This window comes from Homo sapiens, chromosome 1, assembly GCF_000001405.40.
Source record: "Homo sapiens chromosome 1, GRCh38.p14 Primary Assembly".
Classification (NCBI taxonomy): domain Eukaryota; kingdom Metazoa; phylum Chordata; class Mammalia; order Primates; family Hominidae; genus Homo; species Homo sapiens.
In genome coordinates this window covers 6,791,696-6,809,926 of record NC_000001.11, presented here as the reverse complement: position 1 = coordinate 6,809,926, position 18,231 = coordinate 6,791,696, and the positions used below count along the sequence as shown (strand labels likewise).

At 41.0% G+C, this 18,231-nt stretch overlaps 1 protein-coding gene across 35 annotated transcripts in view, besides 1 other annotated feature; it reads right to left on the bottom strand.

The window, feature by feature from the left end:
• CAMTA1 (calmodulin binding transcription activator 1) overlaps positions 1-18,231 on the bottom strand; it is a 984,253-nt gene that overhangs the window by 959,780 nt on the left and 6,242 nt on the right. The window contains exons 1-2 of one of the 35 annotated variants that reach the window (XM_047415988.1): positions 9,871-10,632; positions 2,839-2,944 (exon numbers count right to left, since the gene is read on the bottom strand). The exons of 33 other annotated variants lie outside the window; for them this stretch is intronic. In XM_047415988.1, the coding sequence (XP_047271944.1) occupies positions 2,839-2,871 (33 nt within the window). In that variant the 5' untranslated portion in view covers positions 2,872-2,944; positions 9,871-10,632. Of the gene's footprint in view, positions 1-2,838; positions 2,945-9,870; positions 10,633-18,231 lie in introns of those variants that run through there. One more of the 35 variants, NM_001349627.2, reaches the window with a different exon arrangement.
• Positions 543-1,043: an enhancer, noted in NCBI's record as "H3K4me1 hESC enhancer chr1:6868944-6869444 (GRCh37/hg19 assembly coordinates)". NCBI's record gives its function as "activates a minimal SCP1, AML or CMV promoter by ChIP-STARR-seq in naive H9 embryonic stem cells {active_cell/tissue: H9 hESC(naive)}" and the evidence as "EXISTENCE:reporter gene assay evidence [ECO:0000049][PMID:30033119]".

Below are 18,231 nucleotides of genomic sequence, written 5' to 3'. Positions count from 1 at the left end.
ACCCTATCTCTACTCCTTTATTCTCTCATTATCGAATTGACAAAACCAATACCCTTCCTTAGTCTTCAGTCTACTCAACTCTGCAGCATTACGACTGACAACCTCCTTTCAACCCTCCACACTCAGCAACCCTGAATTCATATTCTGCTTGTTCCCTTACCTCTCCGACCATTCTTTCTCAGCCTCTACTGGTTCTCTCCCCTCTGGTGGCATTAAAATGTAAGCATTCATCACATTTCTGCCCTCAGGCCCCTTCTCTGCTCCCCTTCCAATCTCACTCACAACTGTGACTTCTAATTGTTTTGAACTGATTCATTCATTGGTTGCAAAGGTACTGTCTGTACCTTTTGTGCTGTGCTGCTGCCACTGCATCTGCCCCTCCAGACCTCCTCACAGCCCTTCTCTCCCTGCCCCAAGCCCAGGGGGCTGACCTCTAAGGACTCCAGCACCAAGGCTCCCTCCCTTGCCCTCTGGAAGAACAATGAAGAAAAAAAGCAGGGTGATATGAAGGACTCCCTGATCTTTGACCCACATCTCCAATGTCACGCTGTATATACACATTCTAAAGCTACCCAATGACGCCTTAAAAACAGCGATACCGGCCAGGCGCGGTGGCTCACGTCTGTAATCCTAGCACTTTGGGAGGTCAAGGTGAGCGGATCACCTGAGGTCAGGAGTTCAAGACCAGCCTGGCCAACATGGTGAAACCCCGTCTCTACTAAAAATACGAAAATTAGCCAGGCATGGTGGTGGGTGCCTGTAATCCCAGCTACTCGGGAGGCTGAGGCAGGAGAATTGCTTGAACCTGAGAGGTGGATGTTGCAGTGAGCTGAGACCATGCCATTGCACTGCAGCCTGGGCGACAAGAGTGAAACTCCATCTCAAAAAAAAAAAAAAGAAAAAGAAGAAGAAGAAAAACAGTGGTACCTTTGCAGCCATTCTCCCCAAATATACCTGCCTTGTCTTCCCTATCTCAGTCTGGCCTCACTAAATCCCCAGTTATGGTTCAAAACCTAGGAGTCACCTTCCCTCAAGGCCCACATTCAGTCAGTCACAAAATTGCATGTGTGTGTGACACACACACTCCTCAGCCATGCGAGCTCTTTCCTCACCCCAATTCTACAGACAACTCTTGCCAGAAGTGATTTTCTCCCGACTCTAGTCCTTCCTATTTGCTCATTCATTCATTCATTCATTCAGCCAACAAGCATTTACTAAGTCTAGGTACTCAAGCCTCTTACCTCCAGAAATGCACATCTAATTGAGAGAGAAAGAGAAGTAAACAAGCAACTCCAATGCAAACTAAAATGTGCCATGACTAGGAAAACCACGTAGTGCTATGGTGCACACAGGAAGGGCATCCGATCCAATCTGAAAAGAGGGGCAAGGTCAAGAAGGCTTCTCCTATTGGAAGTTTCATTTAAGCTGAAACACAGAAGACACAGAAAGTCAGCAAGAGCATGGGTGAGCGTGTGTGCCTGTGTTCCTGAGGCAGGTGCAACTTCTAAATCAAGGCAACAGCAATGTGGGAGGCCTAAAACCACCAGACACTGTGGGACCTTGGAACAATCAGAGTCTAAAAAATGTGACGTGACTGTAGAGAGGAAGCTGGAGAAGTAACTAGGTGGCCCTTATTAGCACCTGTTTCAGGAGAATCGACTTTATCCAATCAATTCCATTCCTCTACTAAAAAAAAAAAACTTCTAAAAGCCTCTCCTGAGCAGAGAATTAAATCCAGATTCTTCGGTCTGACTTTCAGGCCCCTAACAACATGACCCCTACCTACTTTCCGAGGCTTACCTACCCATATGCACATGAATTCCACCCACTCCCTGTACTCTCTTGGCTCTATGCCTCTGTTCCATTTCCTCTGCTTGGAATTTCTCCTCCAACTACCATGTTTGCCCGTCAATGATTTCAGGTCAAATTCCACCTCCTCCCGGAAGTCTTTCCATCTTCCCTTCCAGAGCCTTATTAAAGCATTATGACTTGTCTTGAATCACTTACATCCATATCTGCTTCCCTACAGACTTCTGTCACTACAGACTCTGTCCCTGACAGGCTTCTGAAGTATGTGTAAACAGAAATGACTCCTAATTTCAAAGTCTAGGAAAAATGTTCAGAAAAGTATTCAATTTACCACTAAAGCAGTTCTAAATAGCTAACCATGGAAGGTCACAAAGAAATAATTTTTTTTTTTTTTTTTTGAGATGAAGTCTTGCTCTGTCCTCCAGGCTGAAGTGCAGTGGCACGATCTCAGCTCACTGCAACCTCCGCCTCCTGGATTCAAGCGATTCTCCTGCCTCAGCCTCCCAAGTAGCTGAGACTACAGGCACGTGCCACCACGCTCAGCTAATTTTTTGTATTTTTAGTAGAGACGGGGTTTCACCATGTTAGCCAGGATGGTCTCGATCTCCTGACCTCATGATCCACCCGCCTCGGCCTCCCAAAGTGAATGATTTTTTAATTATATGAAAACAATCAACCAAAAGCCTAGATTTCTGTATGTTTTCATGTAAGTATCTGTAAATAAAAATGGCTACAGAAATTTAAAAAACAGTATGTGAACAAGCTCAGAAAGAGTACCTGCTCAGCCACAAGGCATTTAAGGGACAGAGTAAAGGCCAGAGCCAAGTATTCAGATACTCTTTCCCAAAAGTGATAAACAGGATATAACCAGAGTATCTCCACACAACTCACTAACAAACTCACCCAATTACCTGGAACTTTTCTCCTTAATTCTTCCCACAATTAATTCCCATTTTCCTCCAGAGCTCTCAAGAAGCCTCCCCCAACCTTGCAGATTAGTCAAATCCCTTTATGACATATTGCACGCACCTTCACAGCACTGAGTCCCAGCTGAAATTTCATATGGCATCTTGATTAATGTCCGTCTCCCCCTTAGCTCCATAAGGACAGAGACTGGGTCTGTCCTTCCTTGTGCCTGGCACAGATAGGCACTTTGTTATTTGTTGAGTAAATGAAGTGACTTAAAAGTATAACAATAACCAATGTTCACGTGGCCCCTGCGGGACTACAAGGTCCTAAAATATCTTCTGATTCCTCCAGTAATAATAACAATTATATAAATTTTAATGTCACAATTTTATTGTAACATGTCCTAACTCTTTGATAAATATTCATATATATAATCTGCTAGTTCTCTATTAACCAGAATGTATATTAACCAGAATACCACATTTTTTTTAAAACATGCAAGGTATCAGCAAACTTTCACATCAAAAAAACATTTACTACAGGAAGTCAACCTACACGCTACGTGGAAGAGCTGTTTGCTCTCTTAGAACCTGAAAAGTCCAATTCCAGTCTAACAGTGAATTACAGTGTTTCACCAAGGCAGCCTACTACATCAATAAATTAAAACAAAATTTTGTGTTTTTAAGGCAAGATGCTTGGGTGTCTGAGTTAGCCAGGACTTCCTAAGCATACAGCAAATCCATAAAATGAATTTAAACTCCCCAAATAGATCCTCAGATTGAATATAATCCCCATTATATCTCAGTTGTCTCTTCTGTGGAAACTAACAAGCTGATCCTAATATTCATACGGAAATACAAGGGAGCTAGCACAGCCAAAACAATCTTGAAAAAGAAGAACAGAGTTAAAGGACTGACAGTTCCTGATTTCAAAACTTACTACAAAGCTACAGAATCAAGACATTGTGGTAATGGCACAAAGATAGACATATAGATCAATGGAATAGAATCAAGACTCTAAAAATAAACCCACAGATTTATAGTCAGTTGATTTTCAACAAGGGTGCCAAGACACTTCAGTGAGGAAAGAATGGTCTTTTCAACAAATGGGCTAGGACAACTGAATATCCACATGCAAAAAAATGAAGCTGGAAGCCTACCTCACACTGTGTACAAAAATTAACTGAAGATCTATCAGAGAACTAAATGTCAGAGCTAAAACTACAGAACTCTAACAAAAAAACACAGGTGTAAACCTTCACGACCTTGGATATGACAATGGTTTCTTATTATGATACCAAAAGCATAAGTGACCAAAAAAAAAAACAAAAAAACAGATAAATGGGACACAATCAAATTTAAAACTTCTGTTCTTCAAAGGACACTATCAAGAAAGTAAAGGCCAGCACAGCAGCTCATACTTGTAATCCCAGCATTTTGGGAGGCCAAGGCAGGAGGATCACTTGAGCCCAGGAGTTCAAGACCAGCCTGGGCATAATATAATATAGAGACTCCGTTTCTATTAAAAAATTTCTAAATTAGCCAGACCAGTGGTGCCCCCCTGAAGTCCCAGCTGCTCAGGAGACTAAGGTGGGAGGACCGCTTAAGCCCAGGCAGGCAAGACTGCAGGGAGACATGACTGCATCACTACACTCCTGCCTGGGTGACAGAATGAGACCCTCTCTCAAAAAACAAAAGCGAAAAGACAACCCACACAGAATCAGAGAAAAATCACATATCACATGTCAATCATACATTTGAAATCACATATCTGATAAGGGACTGATATCTAGAACACATATAAAGAATTCCTACAACTGAACAGCAAAAATTCAATTGACTCAATTCAAAAATGGAAGAGGATTTGAATAGACATTTGTCAAAGCAGACATACAAATGGCTAATAAGCTCATGAACAGATGCTCAACATCATTAGTCACTAGGGAAATGCAAATCAAAACCACAATAATATACCACTTCCCATCTACAACAATGGCTATAATCAAAAAGATGGACAATAACAAGTGTTTGCAAGAATGTGGAGAAATTACAACTCTCATACTTGCTGGTGGGAATGTAATATGATCTAACCACTTTGGAAAAGTTTGGAAAACAGTTCCTCAAAAAGTTAAACAGAGTTAACTACGACACCACAATTCCACTCCTAGGTATCTTTCCAACAGAAATGAAAACATATGTCCATATAAAAGCTTGTACACAAATGTTCACAGCAGCATTTTTCTTAATAGCCAAAAAGTGGAATAACTCAAATGTCTATTAACTGGTGAATGGATAAACAAAATGTGGTATATATCCACACAACAGAGGATTATTCAAAAATAAAAGGAGTGAAGTGGCCAGGTGTAGTGGTTTACACCTGTAATCCCAGCACTTGGGAGTCCGAGGCAGAAGGATCACTTGAGCCCAGGAGTTCAAGACCAGCCTGGCAACATGGCGAGACCCCCATCTCTATTATATTAAATTTAAAATTTTTTAATTTTAAAAAAGGGATGAAGTAACAGTACATGCTACATACAACATAGATAAAAACCTTGAAAACATTATGCTAAGGGAAATAAGCCAGTCAAGTCACAAAAGGACAAACACTACATGATTCTATTTATATGAAATGTTCACACTAGGCATAAATATGCATAAAGAAATAAAGCAGATTAGTAATTGACTAGGGCCGGGAGGAGGAGGCAACAGGGAGTGGCTGCTAATGGGTACAGATTTTCTTTTTGGAGTGATGAAAATGTGGAATTAGAGAGTGGGGACAGTTGCACGAAACATGTAAATATACAAAAGAAAACCCACTCAATTATATATTTTAAAAGGGTTAATTTTATAATATATGAATTACATCTTAAGCTATTATTAAAAAACAAATCAGGCTGGGCACAGTGGCTTATACCTGCAATCCCAGCACTTCGGGAGGCCAAGGCTGGAGGATCACTTGAGGCCAGGAGTTTAAGATCAGCCTGGGCAACATATTGAGACCCTGTCTTTACCAAAAAAAAAAAAAAAAAAAAAGAGTTTCGCTCGTTTCCCAGGCTGGAGTGCGATGGCACAATCTCGACACACTGCAACCTCTGCCTCCCGGGTTCAACTGATTCTCCTGCCTCAGCCTCCCAAGTAGCTAGGATTACTGGCACCCGCCACCATGCCCAGCTTTTTGTATTTTTTTTAGTAGAGAAGGGGTTTCACCCATGTTGGCCAAGCTGGTCTGGAACTCCTGACCTCAGGAGATCCACCCGCCTCAGCCTCCCAAAGTGCTGGGATTACAGGCGTGAGCCACCATGCCTGGCCAAAAAAAAAAAAATTTTAATCAGCTAGGCATGGTGATACATGCCTGTACTCCTAACCACTTGGGAGTCTGAGGCAGGAGGATCACTTGAGTCCAGGAATTCAAGGTGCCAGTGAGCTACGATCACACCTCTGCACTCCAGCCTGGATGACAGAGTGAGACCATCTTTAAAAAGAAATAAAATAATTTAAAAAAGAACCAAATCCCTGTAACTACTGAAACCACTGTGAAGGTTGTTTCTTTAAAAACATACACTTTCCTCTTTTGTTTAGCAGAACATACTCAGTATTGCTTTTCTGAATTTACTCAAGGTCAACACTATGAAACATCAATGACTAAACAGCTGTAAATTCAGAGAATTCAACGGTGCGCAGGCTAGTAGCCCTTTACATAGTTATCTCCAAACTACTATTCTTTCACAGTATTCCACCTGTCTTCTATAATTTTGTTTCCTCCTTCTACCATGAAAAATCAAGAACAACAAGAGATCAGAGGCAGGAGGGATATACTAAGGAAAAGGTGAAGGACTGTGCACACAGGCAGCCACATACACTTAAAGAGAGGCTGTTTTCTGTTTTCTTCCCCGCTTGTTTTCTGCTTTCTACCCATTCTGAAGGCAACGTCTCCCATTCTTACTAAGGATACACATCTCCATCCTTTTATGTTTACCGACCCAAAACAAGGGGAAAAGTGGGGAAGCCCACCCAAATAGCTGAACTGTGGAAGACCTCAAATGATACTGACATCACCCAAACTGCCTGATTCCACCTGAGAACACCCACAGGGCAAAGACCGCACAGACCATAGCATTCCAAGGTGTTCTGCTTCTCCACTATTCAAAGAAAAAGTTCTGGGGCCGGGCACGGTGGCTCACGCCTGTAATCCCAGCCCTTTGAGAGACTGAGGCAGGTGGATTGCTTGAGCTGGCCAAGAGTTCAAGACCAGCCTAGGCAACATAATGAAACCCCTGTCTCTACTAAAAACATAAAAATCAGCCGGGCGTTGTGGCATATGCCTGTGTTTTCCAGCTAAGTCCTCAGCTTGGGGGGCTGAGGTGGGAGGATCACTTGAGCCCAGGCTGTCGAGGCTTCAGTGAGCTGAAATTGTGCTACTGCACTCCAGCCTGGGCGACAGAATAAGACCTTGTCTCAAAAAAAAAAAAGAGAGAGAGAGAGACAAAGAAAAAGCTTTGAGACAGTTACTACACCTACCACTAACTTACTCCACACACACCCAGGCTGGCTGACCAAGGACACTTGGCCTTCTATCTGTAGCTACACTGAACACTTTCTCTGCAAAACTCTATAGCATCTGAACATAAGACACTCCTTTAGGAGTCAATATCTTTTCTTTTACACTGTTTGATGGGGACAGAGTTTGAGGTGCCAGGACCCCCTGCTATGATAACCAGCTTCTCACACAATCTCCTCTCACTCTAAGACCCTCTAAATGATCAGCAGGCTGCTGGATCTAACCAACCTTCTTTCATAGTCGACCAGAGTGAGATGATCACCTGGCCTATGGAAACAAAGCAAATGGCTGAGAGGAGTCAGTCCAATACCCAGTCTTGAATATTTTTGTACTGAGCCATAGAAATGGGAGTCAGATGATGATGAGTACTGGAACTAGAGTCAGGACATGCAGGAGCCATGACTAAGGCCACTACATGTAACTCAAGCAAGGAAGCTACATGTGAATGGAAAAAGCCCAGCTCCAGAGAAGACATGTACTCCAGACTCTCCAGATCCAGTTCCCACTGCCCAGCTGCACTTCAGTTTCTGTCCCGAGAGGCTACGATTGCTTCTGCTCTTCTTAGACTAAAACTGCTTTCACTTGGCCTAAACTGTGTGGCTCATGGGACTTGCAATCAAAAGTGCTCTAATCTAAAGCACGGCCTGCTTACCTTCCCTGACATCAACCCCAAACCATCTGTTTCCTAGTGTTTATTAAGAACCTCAGACTTTTCTGAATGAGCTAGCCAATCCTCTTTACAAATATAAATATTGCAAATATTAAAATCTCACCTAAAAATCACTTTCTGTATAAATGAACCTCAGGGCCTGATTACCATCACTTTTTTTTTTTTTTAATGTGTGATTCTGACAGTTTATTTAAGGCACAGCCTCCCACCTTGGGGTCATGAAAATATTGGCCATATATTTACTGTTAGGACATTATAACTAGTTTTCTCATTAAGCTTCAAATCCATTTGAAGTTTTTATTTTTTTAATTGTGGCAAAATATGCATAACATAAAATTTACCACTTTAACCCTTTTTGAGCATACAATTTAGTGAAATTAGGGACATTCCTATTGTGTATCACCATTAGCCATAGCTTATTTTCAAAGCATTCTGAAAATCATGACTTTTTTATTTTTATTAAACAAGTGTTTATGTTCCCTCATCAAATGACAAGGGCCAGGAGCCTCATCAGTGGCAGGACTGTGGCAGGACAGTGACGAAGGTAGCAAAGAGCACCCACAACAACTTGGAGCAGCACCAGAGCAGCTAAATCCATCCTCAGTTCCTCCAGACATGGCCACAGAAGCTAAAGAGACTAAAAATACTTGGAGAGGACAGATAAAAAGCTGTCAAGGATATTTAGCCCAGTTAGAGAGGTCGCCACTATCACCATATTTGCATCAGAAAACACTCATACAAGCTGCAGTGGGAAATATTTAGAATAATTAGATTCAGTACAGAAAGCCTGATGTTCCTTCCCTCCCAGAATGCCTGGAAGAAATCTCTGGGCCTTGAATTTGGTCAAGTTATCTATGATCAATTTCTGGAGGACCCCTAGGAAGAAAGACAAGTACTTCAAAAATGTTAAGTGCCCACTCTCCACCCTTCTAACTTGTTATAGCTTTCTTTTTAGCACAACAGCCTCTATCAAGAAAACCAAATGAGGAAGAAACTTTCATCAAAGCTTTGTGAAAGCAAATGATTCAGCCAGAACATTTCATAATGGCTGAGATGGAAAGGATAAGGCAGGGAATGTTTACACGAACACCAGGAACTTCAACTTGCCTCTCAGTATCTTTAAAAATGAAAGAAACTTCCAAAAATAAATTATGTTCACGGCCTCTCCAAACGCGAGGCCTATAGGAGGCCCAGGGAGCAGGTTCAAGTGAAGATGTGATATGATCAATGACAGTGGGCCCACAGCAACTCCCCAATCCACACGAGTTTCTAAATAGGAAGAGTCTTCATTTACTGAATTACTGGGAATCGATAGATTTTAATAACAGTTATATTAATCAACTCCAGAAAGTACAACTAAATGAATATAAATACTACCTTAAACATAAAAAGTCTGAGGTTAGCAAATATTTTTCATCTGTAATCATATATTATTTAAGTCTATTTTCCAAAACTATGAACCCTCATCTATGTCTGAACAAAGACCTCAGATCTGTCATACAGAATAACTATGAACATTTTGGTGTTGTACATCTTTTTTAATAAATTTAAATTTTTTTACATTTTGTTTGTTTTGAGACAGGATCTCACTCTGTCATCCAGACTGGAGTGCAGTGGCGTGATCGTAGCTCACTGCAGCCTTGACCTCAAGGGCTCAAGTAATCCTCCAACCTCAGCCTCCCAGGTACCTGGGATCACAGGCGCACACCAACACATCTGGCTAATTTTTTCTATTTTTAGTAGAGACAAGGTCTCACTATGTTGCCCAGGCTGGTCTCGAACTCCAGGGCTAAAGCAATCCTCCCGTCTCGGCCTCCCAAAGTGCTTAGATTATAGGCACCGAGCCACAGCACCCGGCCTACGTTTTTTAAAGTAAATATAGTATATTAAACAGACAGACCTAAAAAATTAAGCCCTCTATGTACCTCAGAAAGGAGATATCTGAGTGTCTGTAGTTCAAATCCCCCCATACAGCTTGAGTCAACATATTATTCTTGTCCTGGAGCAAGGACCTCAAAAGGAAAAGATACAGTTATACAGAATAGCTGAATATCAGGAAAGCAAGCCCTGAAATGAAATTCCATATCTCCGACTTCATTTCCTTACACAATAGTCCCCCTCTTATCCATGGTTTCAGTTACAAGCGGTCAACTAAGGTCCAAAAATAGGTGAGTATGGTACAATAAGATAATCAGAGAGAGAGAGAGACCACATTCACACAACTTTTATTACAGTATATTGCTGCAACTGTTCTGTTTTATCATTAGTTATTGCTATTAATTATTAATAGTAATTATTATTAATGGGAAGGAACTTTCGAGGTCATCGCTAGGAAAACCCTTTACCCAACACATGAATCCCCTCAAAATGACTACCAACTATCTCATTACATAAGAGCTGAGGTCTGAGAAAAGCAAGATGAGGAAAAGCTGTGCTGGAATCAAGAGTGATAAATGCAGAAATACCATCTGGTAAAAGAAGGTATGGAGGCCATGGAGAGAAAGGCTTCTAGCTCCTGGTCCACCTAAGTGGCAGCAAAGACAGCACAGGATGCAGCTCTGCTGGGATCCTTGAGTCCTGCTCACCAGCATTCCCAGCTAGTGAAAGAGTACAAGCCAGGCACAGCGGCTCATGCCTGTAAGCCTGGCACTTTGGGAGGCTGAGACAGGATGACTGCTTGAGGCCAGGAGTACAAGACAAGCCTGCGCAACATAGCAAGACCCTTTCTCCATAAAATTAAAAAAGAATTAGCCGGGTGTGGTGGCACACGCCCGTAGTCCTCACTACTCAGGAGGCTGAGGCAGGAGGATCACTTGAACCCAAGAGTTCAAGGTTGCAGTGAGCTGTGATGGCACTCTAGCCTGGGTGACAGATCAAGACTCTTGTCTCTAAAAAATTTTTTTAATTAATAATAAGTAACGAATAAATAAATAATAAATAAATAGTAAAAAGGAAAGAGTTTGAGCTGGGAATCCAAGTGGGCTTGTTCTACAAGCTGTCTAGGAAGTGCAAAGCCTTCACAGCTAGAGAACTAACCAATCACTGATTGGTTCAGGGTTAGATAAAAATGATAACGCTTTAGCCAGGCGTGGAGGTGGAGGCTAACGTCTGTAATCCGAGCACTTTGGGAGGCAGAGGCGGACGGATCATGAGGTCAGGAGATAGAGACCATCCTGGCTAACAAGGTGAAACCCCGTCTCTACTAAAAATACAAAAAATTAGCCGGGCGCGGTGGCGGGCGCCTGTAGTCCCAGCTACTCGGGAGGCTGAGGCAGGAGAATGGCGTGAACCCGGGAAGCGGAGCTTGCAGTGAGCCGAGATTGCGCCACTGCAGTCCGCAGTCCGGCCTGGGCGACAGAGCGAGACTCCGTCTCAAAAAAAAAAAAAAAAAAAAAAATTAGCCAGGTGTGGTGGTGGGCGCCTGTGGTCCCAGCTACCCAAGAGGCTGAGGCAGGAGAATGGCGTGAACTCGAGAAGTGGAGCTTGCATCACTGCACTCTAGCCTGGGCGACAGAGATAGACTCTGTCTCAAAAGATAAATAAATAAATAATTCTGATGCTACCGCCAGTATTCCAGACTTTTTGAAACCTAATAATAATAGCCCATAACTTTTCATAAATTCTACAGTGGCACATGGCTTTGAAAATTAGGGGGTTTTTACAGAGCCCTCTACCATTAAATATTCCTTTTTTAGGCTGGGTGCGGTAGCTCACACCTGTAATCCCAGCACTTTGGGAGGCCGAGGTGGGTGAATCACCTGAGGTCAGGAGTTCAAGACCAGCCTGGCCAACATGGTGTCTCAACTAAAAATACAAAAATTAGCCCAGCGTGGTGTTCAGCACCTGTAATCCTAGCTACTTGGGGGGCGAGGCAGGAGAATCGCTTGAACCAAGGCGGCGGAGGTTGCAATGAACCAAGATCGCGCCATCGCACTGCAGCCTGGGGGACAAGAGCAAGACTTTGTCTCAAAAAAAAAAAAAAAAATTCCTTTCTTCATTATCACTTGCAAATAGATTCTTTTATAGAAATTATATTTAAATAATATATAAATTATTTCATTATTAGGGAAAACAATGTCATTTAAGTCATCTTCAATGTTTATTCACAGTCTACTTGCTTTTATTTCCTTTCTCTTAGCAAATCTACTGAAAGGAGAAAGCCAGCTAACAGACCACTCTTCTGTTACCTATTAGATAATTTAGTTTAACCTAAAGGAACACAAAGCTCTAGTTTCATTTAAGAATGGGAGGACACAGGATCTGTGAGTTGTTATGGCATTTAAAAAGTCATCTCAAGACAGGCGCGGTGGCTCACGTCTGTAATCCCAGCACTTTGGGAGGCAGAGGCAGGCAGATCAGCTGAGGTCGGGAGTTTGAGACCAGCCTGGCCAACATGGTAAAACCCCGTCTCTGCTAAAAAAAACAAAAATTAGCTAGGCGTGGTGGTGCATGCATGTAATCCCAGCTACTCAGGAGGCTGAGGTGGGAGAATTGCTTGAACACAGGAGGCAGAGGTTGCGGTGAGCCAAGATCATGCCACTGCACTCCAGCCTGGGTGACAGAGCTAGATTCCATCTCAAAAAAAAAAAAACCCAGTAAATAAAAAATAAAAAGTCATCTCAGCCGAACGTGGTGGTTCATGCTTGTCATCCCAGCACTTTGGGAGGCCGATGCAGGAGGATCACTTGAGCCCTGTAGTATGAGACCAGCCTGGACAACAGGGCAAAACCCCGTCTCTACAAAAATTAGCCTGGCATGGTGGCACGCACCTATAGCCTCAGTCACTTGGGGGACTGAGGCAGGAGGACTGCTTAGGCCCGAGAAGTGGAGGCTGCAGTGACACAAGATCACGCCACTACACTCCAGTCTGGGTGACAAAGCAAGACTGTCTCAGAAAAAAAAGTGATCTCAAGAGTAAGACTGGGTATCAATCAAAGTGGTTGCAGCTTGAATCATCAATTCTAATCATGCATTATTATTTAGCTAAAATGATGATTCCTAAATATAACACGTTTTATTTCTAAATGTTTCTTGGCAATTGAGTATCCAGAAAGTCAGCAAATCCCCCACGAAAGTAGAGAAAATAAACTTTTTTACGGCTCACCATTCATCAGCTACAGCAGGCTTGAAAGATACTATGGGCCGGAGGCTTAGCCTGAAATTTGGCCTGCAGAAGAAAACTCCAAATAAGATTTCTTCAAGAACTGTTCTAACGTAGTACTGAACTGCAAGCAGTGACCTCCCTAGAGGAGAAACCGGAGTCAACAGCTACACGAGTGCACAATCCAGGGTAGATGCACCCTAAGTCCAATACAAGGAATACTAGGCTAGTTCCACCACAATAATAATATCTTAAAATAAAAGTATCAAACAATGAAGTTATTTAAAATATGTCAAAGGCAAGAAAATGCTCCAAAAAAAAATCTAAATCCATTACAAAGGTAATTTGAATAAAACATCATTTAATCTCTAGGCCTAACCTCTCTGAAATAAAGCATTATATAATCTTCCAACTTAGTCAAATTATACAAGAAATGCTACTTTAGGCCAGCTCAGTGGCTCACGCCTGTAATCCCAGCACTCTGGGAGGCCAAAGTGGGTGGATCACTTGCATTCACAAGTTGGAGACCAGCCTGGGCAACACGGCGAAACTCCATCTCCGCAAAAAATACAAAAATTAGCCAGGCATGGTGGCGCGTGCCTGTAGTCCCAGCTACTTGTGAGGCTGAGGGATCACCTGAGCCCAAGAAGTCGAGGCTGCAGTAAGCCGAGAGAGATCATGCCACTGCACTCCAGACTGAGTGACACAGTGAGACCGTCTCCAAAAAAAAAAAAAAAAAAAAAAAAAAGAAATGCTATTTTATAACAAAGGAGCCATAGCATAGCACTCTCAACTTCCTGTAAGAACAAAAATATTGTGTCAATATGTTCACAACACAGTTCAAGTCACAAAATCATGAGATAATTAAATTGACTTTTTAGGTTTCAATCTGTTTAGCCAGAAACCTTATCCAAACTGTACTGATGCAAATCAGCATGAGAACTATAGCACTATCAAAATAACTCCAGTATCTTATCTTTTGTTTTACCTTTTATCAGTGATTTATGGGCTGACTAATGGTAAACTGATTTGTGCATGTGCCAGAAGTCAGCTCAGGAATACAAAACAGGAAAAAAATTTAGAAGAATCAGATTCATGAATGAAAATGCTGACGTCATAGTTCAGTTCCCAGCAGAGTTTAGAGTAGCATATAAAAAACAGTGTATCTTCTGGAATGTTAAAACACCAAAGTCATTTCGTAAAGGAAATAAAAGAAAAAGTCATTCCTTGCTCAGAATGAGGGAATGGAGAAAAAAAGAGAAAAGCTCAATTAACAACCTTTTCCACAAACCAAAAATGAAAAATATACAATGTATATGGCACAAACTATCATAACTTCTAAACCACATAATTATTTTGTGTTATTGTTAGAAATAATATTTTTTAGGCAGGGCATGGTAGCTCACACTTGTAAATCCCAGCACTTCGGGAGGCTGAGGCAGACGGACTGCTTGAGACCAGGAGTTCAAGACCAGCCTGGGCAATACAGCAAGACCCCACCTCTACGAAAAAGAGAAAAAAAAAACCTAAGCAGCCATGGTGACACACACCTGTAGTCCCAGTCACTCAGGGGGCTGAGGCAGGAGGATCATTTCAGCACAGGAGGCCAAGGCTTCAGTGAGCTATGGATTGCACTACTGCACTCTAGTCTGGGCAACAGAGCGAGACCCTGTCTCTAAAAAAAAGTAAGATAAAATAAGTTTTAAAAGAAGTCACATTTGTTACAGGTGATGACTAGTTGTGTCTCTAAATAAGTAGGACACAGCCGCCCCCCAACTTTAAATCTTTCTCCCACCACACGGCATAACTTTCAAAAATGAGTGCATAATACAGCTAGGCAGTCCTCCACTGAAAATGACCCAGCACAGGCCTACCACACCTGATTTTAAGTAATTCTGAATAATATGGGGTGGAACTCAGTGACCAGAAGAAAGCTCCTGAATTTTTATGTGAGGGAAGAAAAAACAAAAAAACAAAAAAACAAAAAAAACAAAAAAAAAGCCTTTATCTAATGATGTAATATAAACTAATAAAAAAGATTATAAAAATTTGATTTACTTAGAACTATTAAAAGTGGCTAGTGGCATGGATTGTTCATATTTTTCATCTCTCGGCAGCACTGAAAATACAACTAGTAATACAAACTTCTGTAAAGTTTAGACACAATTTACTAAAATCCTTTTATTCAGGACACTTAAGTAACTGATTCCTAGATGTCTAATGTTTCCCAGGGAATTTAAGATTATTACATTCTTAGAAAATAACAGTGACCCTCACATCCTTGGTGACCTCTCCAAAGCACAAAACTGTAAGGACATTCTCTCTTCTTTACCATTCATATGGCTTAAAGTAGCCATTCACCCAAAATGGATTTTTTTTAATTTAAGCAATAAACAATTTTGCCAATAAACATTTTAAAAAGAAGATCTTATTAAGTTAAAATGCAAACATGCCAGTTTTATCTGTAAATCTAAAATGTGAAGAGATCATCTCACATTGTTGCCACCACAAATATCTTTGAAAGAACATCACTACCCCCTTGTGGATTCGCAATAAAAAAATCCTTCTCTTGAATCTTTTTAAATATTCCATTCTGCTGAACTTCCATCAAAGTTTTCATTTTCTTCACTAAGAAGGGTTATTTCAATTACTTTTTAAAAAGACAAACAATATTTTTCTTAAAACCAATCCAATCAACTTATTTGTCCTCTAAGCGTCCCCATTTTGGGGAGCATTCTTTATACGTGTGCATGTGTTGATTCAATACAATAACCCTATCAACATTCCATTTCTTCTTCAAATATCTGAATTTATACTTCCAGTCATCACTTTGAGATTATTTTTAATCATAAATGAGTAATTTTTTCCACTATAACATCTTTTTTCTTTCTATCTGATAATTTCACACTTTGTACCAATTTCTTATTATCACTCCCAAATGATTTGATATCCAAGTGCCCAGAAAACCAACAGGGCACATATATCCTCAGAAATGACTTTTCAGAAAAGGATTAAAAAACAAATTTAAGTTTTAAGAACATTAATTCTTGATTGTATTAATATACCTTCAGAAATGACTCCTGGCAATCTAAATCAAGCACCATGAAGGAAAAATAGACAATAACTTTTTTTCAAAACTTGTAAAAAGAAAGGCTTTCTCTCTCTCTCTACGTTGAAAGAATACCTCTGGTTGTATCTGCATTTCATTCTAATATAAGACACAAATACACCTTGTTGAATGCACACTGTAAAAGAGATTAAGTGAACTTAAACATCTGATGTATCCCTTATCATAGACACTAAATTTAGCTGAAAGTATAAATCATCACTGCACAATGCACAGGCTACATGGAGAAAGAGTCATGACTGACTGTACTGCCCTTACTGGAAGTTAGCTCCCCATTCTCTTAGACATGTTGAACACAAAAATAGGGACATGGTAATTTACTACTGTCAACATTTATTCCAATGGTTAGATAGGAATAAATGGGGAAAAATCCACTTTGCAAGTGTTTTTAAGTGACTGAATACATAATCTTACCTTGTGGTAACTGATAAGGGGAAAAAAATGGAAGAGATACTGCATGGTCTGCTGAACGAATGAATGCTCTATGTCCCAAAAGTCACACATCAGCCCCACTGAGAATATTACACATCCAAAAATTATCTGCTTATGCACCTGTCCAAAACTAGCGACTGAACTGCACAGCAGAACCAATCAGAGCTGGGCTTCACAAGGTTTTGCTTTTCTGTTGCTATGACTATTGTTTTGGGATTTGCAGGTAGGGGAGATATATATAAGATATATATAAGAGTGGGGTATATATATATATAAGAGTGGGGTATATATATATAAGATATATATGAGTGGTATGAAGAAATGAAGTTGGGGTGAGACCTTTGCCACTTAGTCTCCACATAATAACATGTTTAAAACTATTAAGAACACAGCCCCAAACGTTTCTTTCAAGAAATGTCACTTTGTACACATGAAAACTACAAAACCGTAGAGAGCAGAGTGATGAATACAGCCCCAAACAAGCATATCTTCCTTGAAGTTACCTTCGGCTCACAGTCTCAGGAAAGGATATGTTACGTGACTTGAAAGCCCTGGCTAAATTTGAAAAACAAAAACAAGAAAGTAACTGCAAAAGGATTCATGTACAGGAGAACAAGCAACCATGTCAGGATAGAGCCAAACACTGAGGTTGAATATGGAGGAACCTTTAAAAAAAAAAATCTCTAGTCATTCCATCTTATGCCATGTCAATCAGTTCGAAGTAAATGAACAATCCTCCAGAAAAAGAGCAAAAGGGGAAATAATGTGGCTGACCCTTGGCCTCTCTTTGCAATGGGGTACATAATATTTCTCTGTAAGTCCAGGGTAATGAGGTAAAAAAAAAAATGCTCAGGAAACAGTACCAATCTTTACACAGGAGGCCCATGACCTTCTACAAGCAATGGTGTTCAAAGCAGAAGGATGCAATACAACCTTAGAAATATACAGCTAGCATACTGATGGCAAAAAAAAAAAAAAACCCAAAACCACCCTTTACTCACCCTTTACTTTGTCCCATCACGTGAACTGCTCTCCATTGTCAATTTATACAAGGAAACACTTCCGGCCAGGCACATTGGCTCATGCCTGTAATCTCAGCACTTTGGGAGGCCTAGGTGGGCGGATCACTTGAGGCCAGGAATTCAAGACCAACCTGGCCAACATGGTGAAACCCCGTCTCTACTAAAAATACGAAAAAAAATTAGCCGGGCATGGTGGTGCACGCCTGTAATCCCAGCTACTTTGGAGGCTGAAGCAGGACAATCGCTTGAACCTGGAAGGCGGAGGTTGCAGGGAGCGGAGATCGTGCCTGGGCAACAAAGCAAGACTCAGCCTCAAAAAAAAAAAAAGAAAAGAAACACTTTCCTTATAAATGCATGACAATTATCATGGGAGACCATCTATATGTTTGTAAGTCCCTCTCTCTAATGACAAAATAGGAACATGGCTTAATCACAGGACTAAGGGACACTATATCCAGGGATGGCACAAAATAAAAGGATATGATAGTCGGATCAACCTCTAGCTCGAACCTGATTAGGTATTCAAGAAAAATAAAAAGAAAGATTATACACTATCTGGAAAATAGAGTGAATGACCGTACACTCTTATTCAAGTTACACAGAC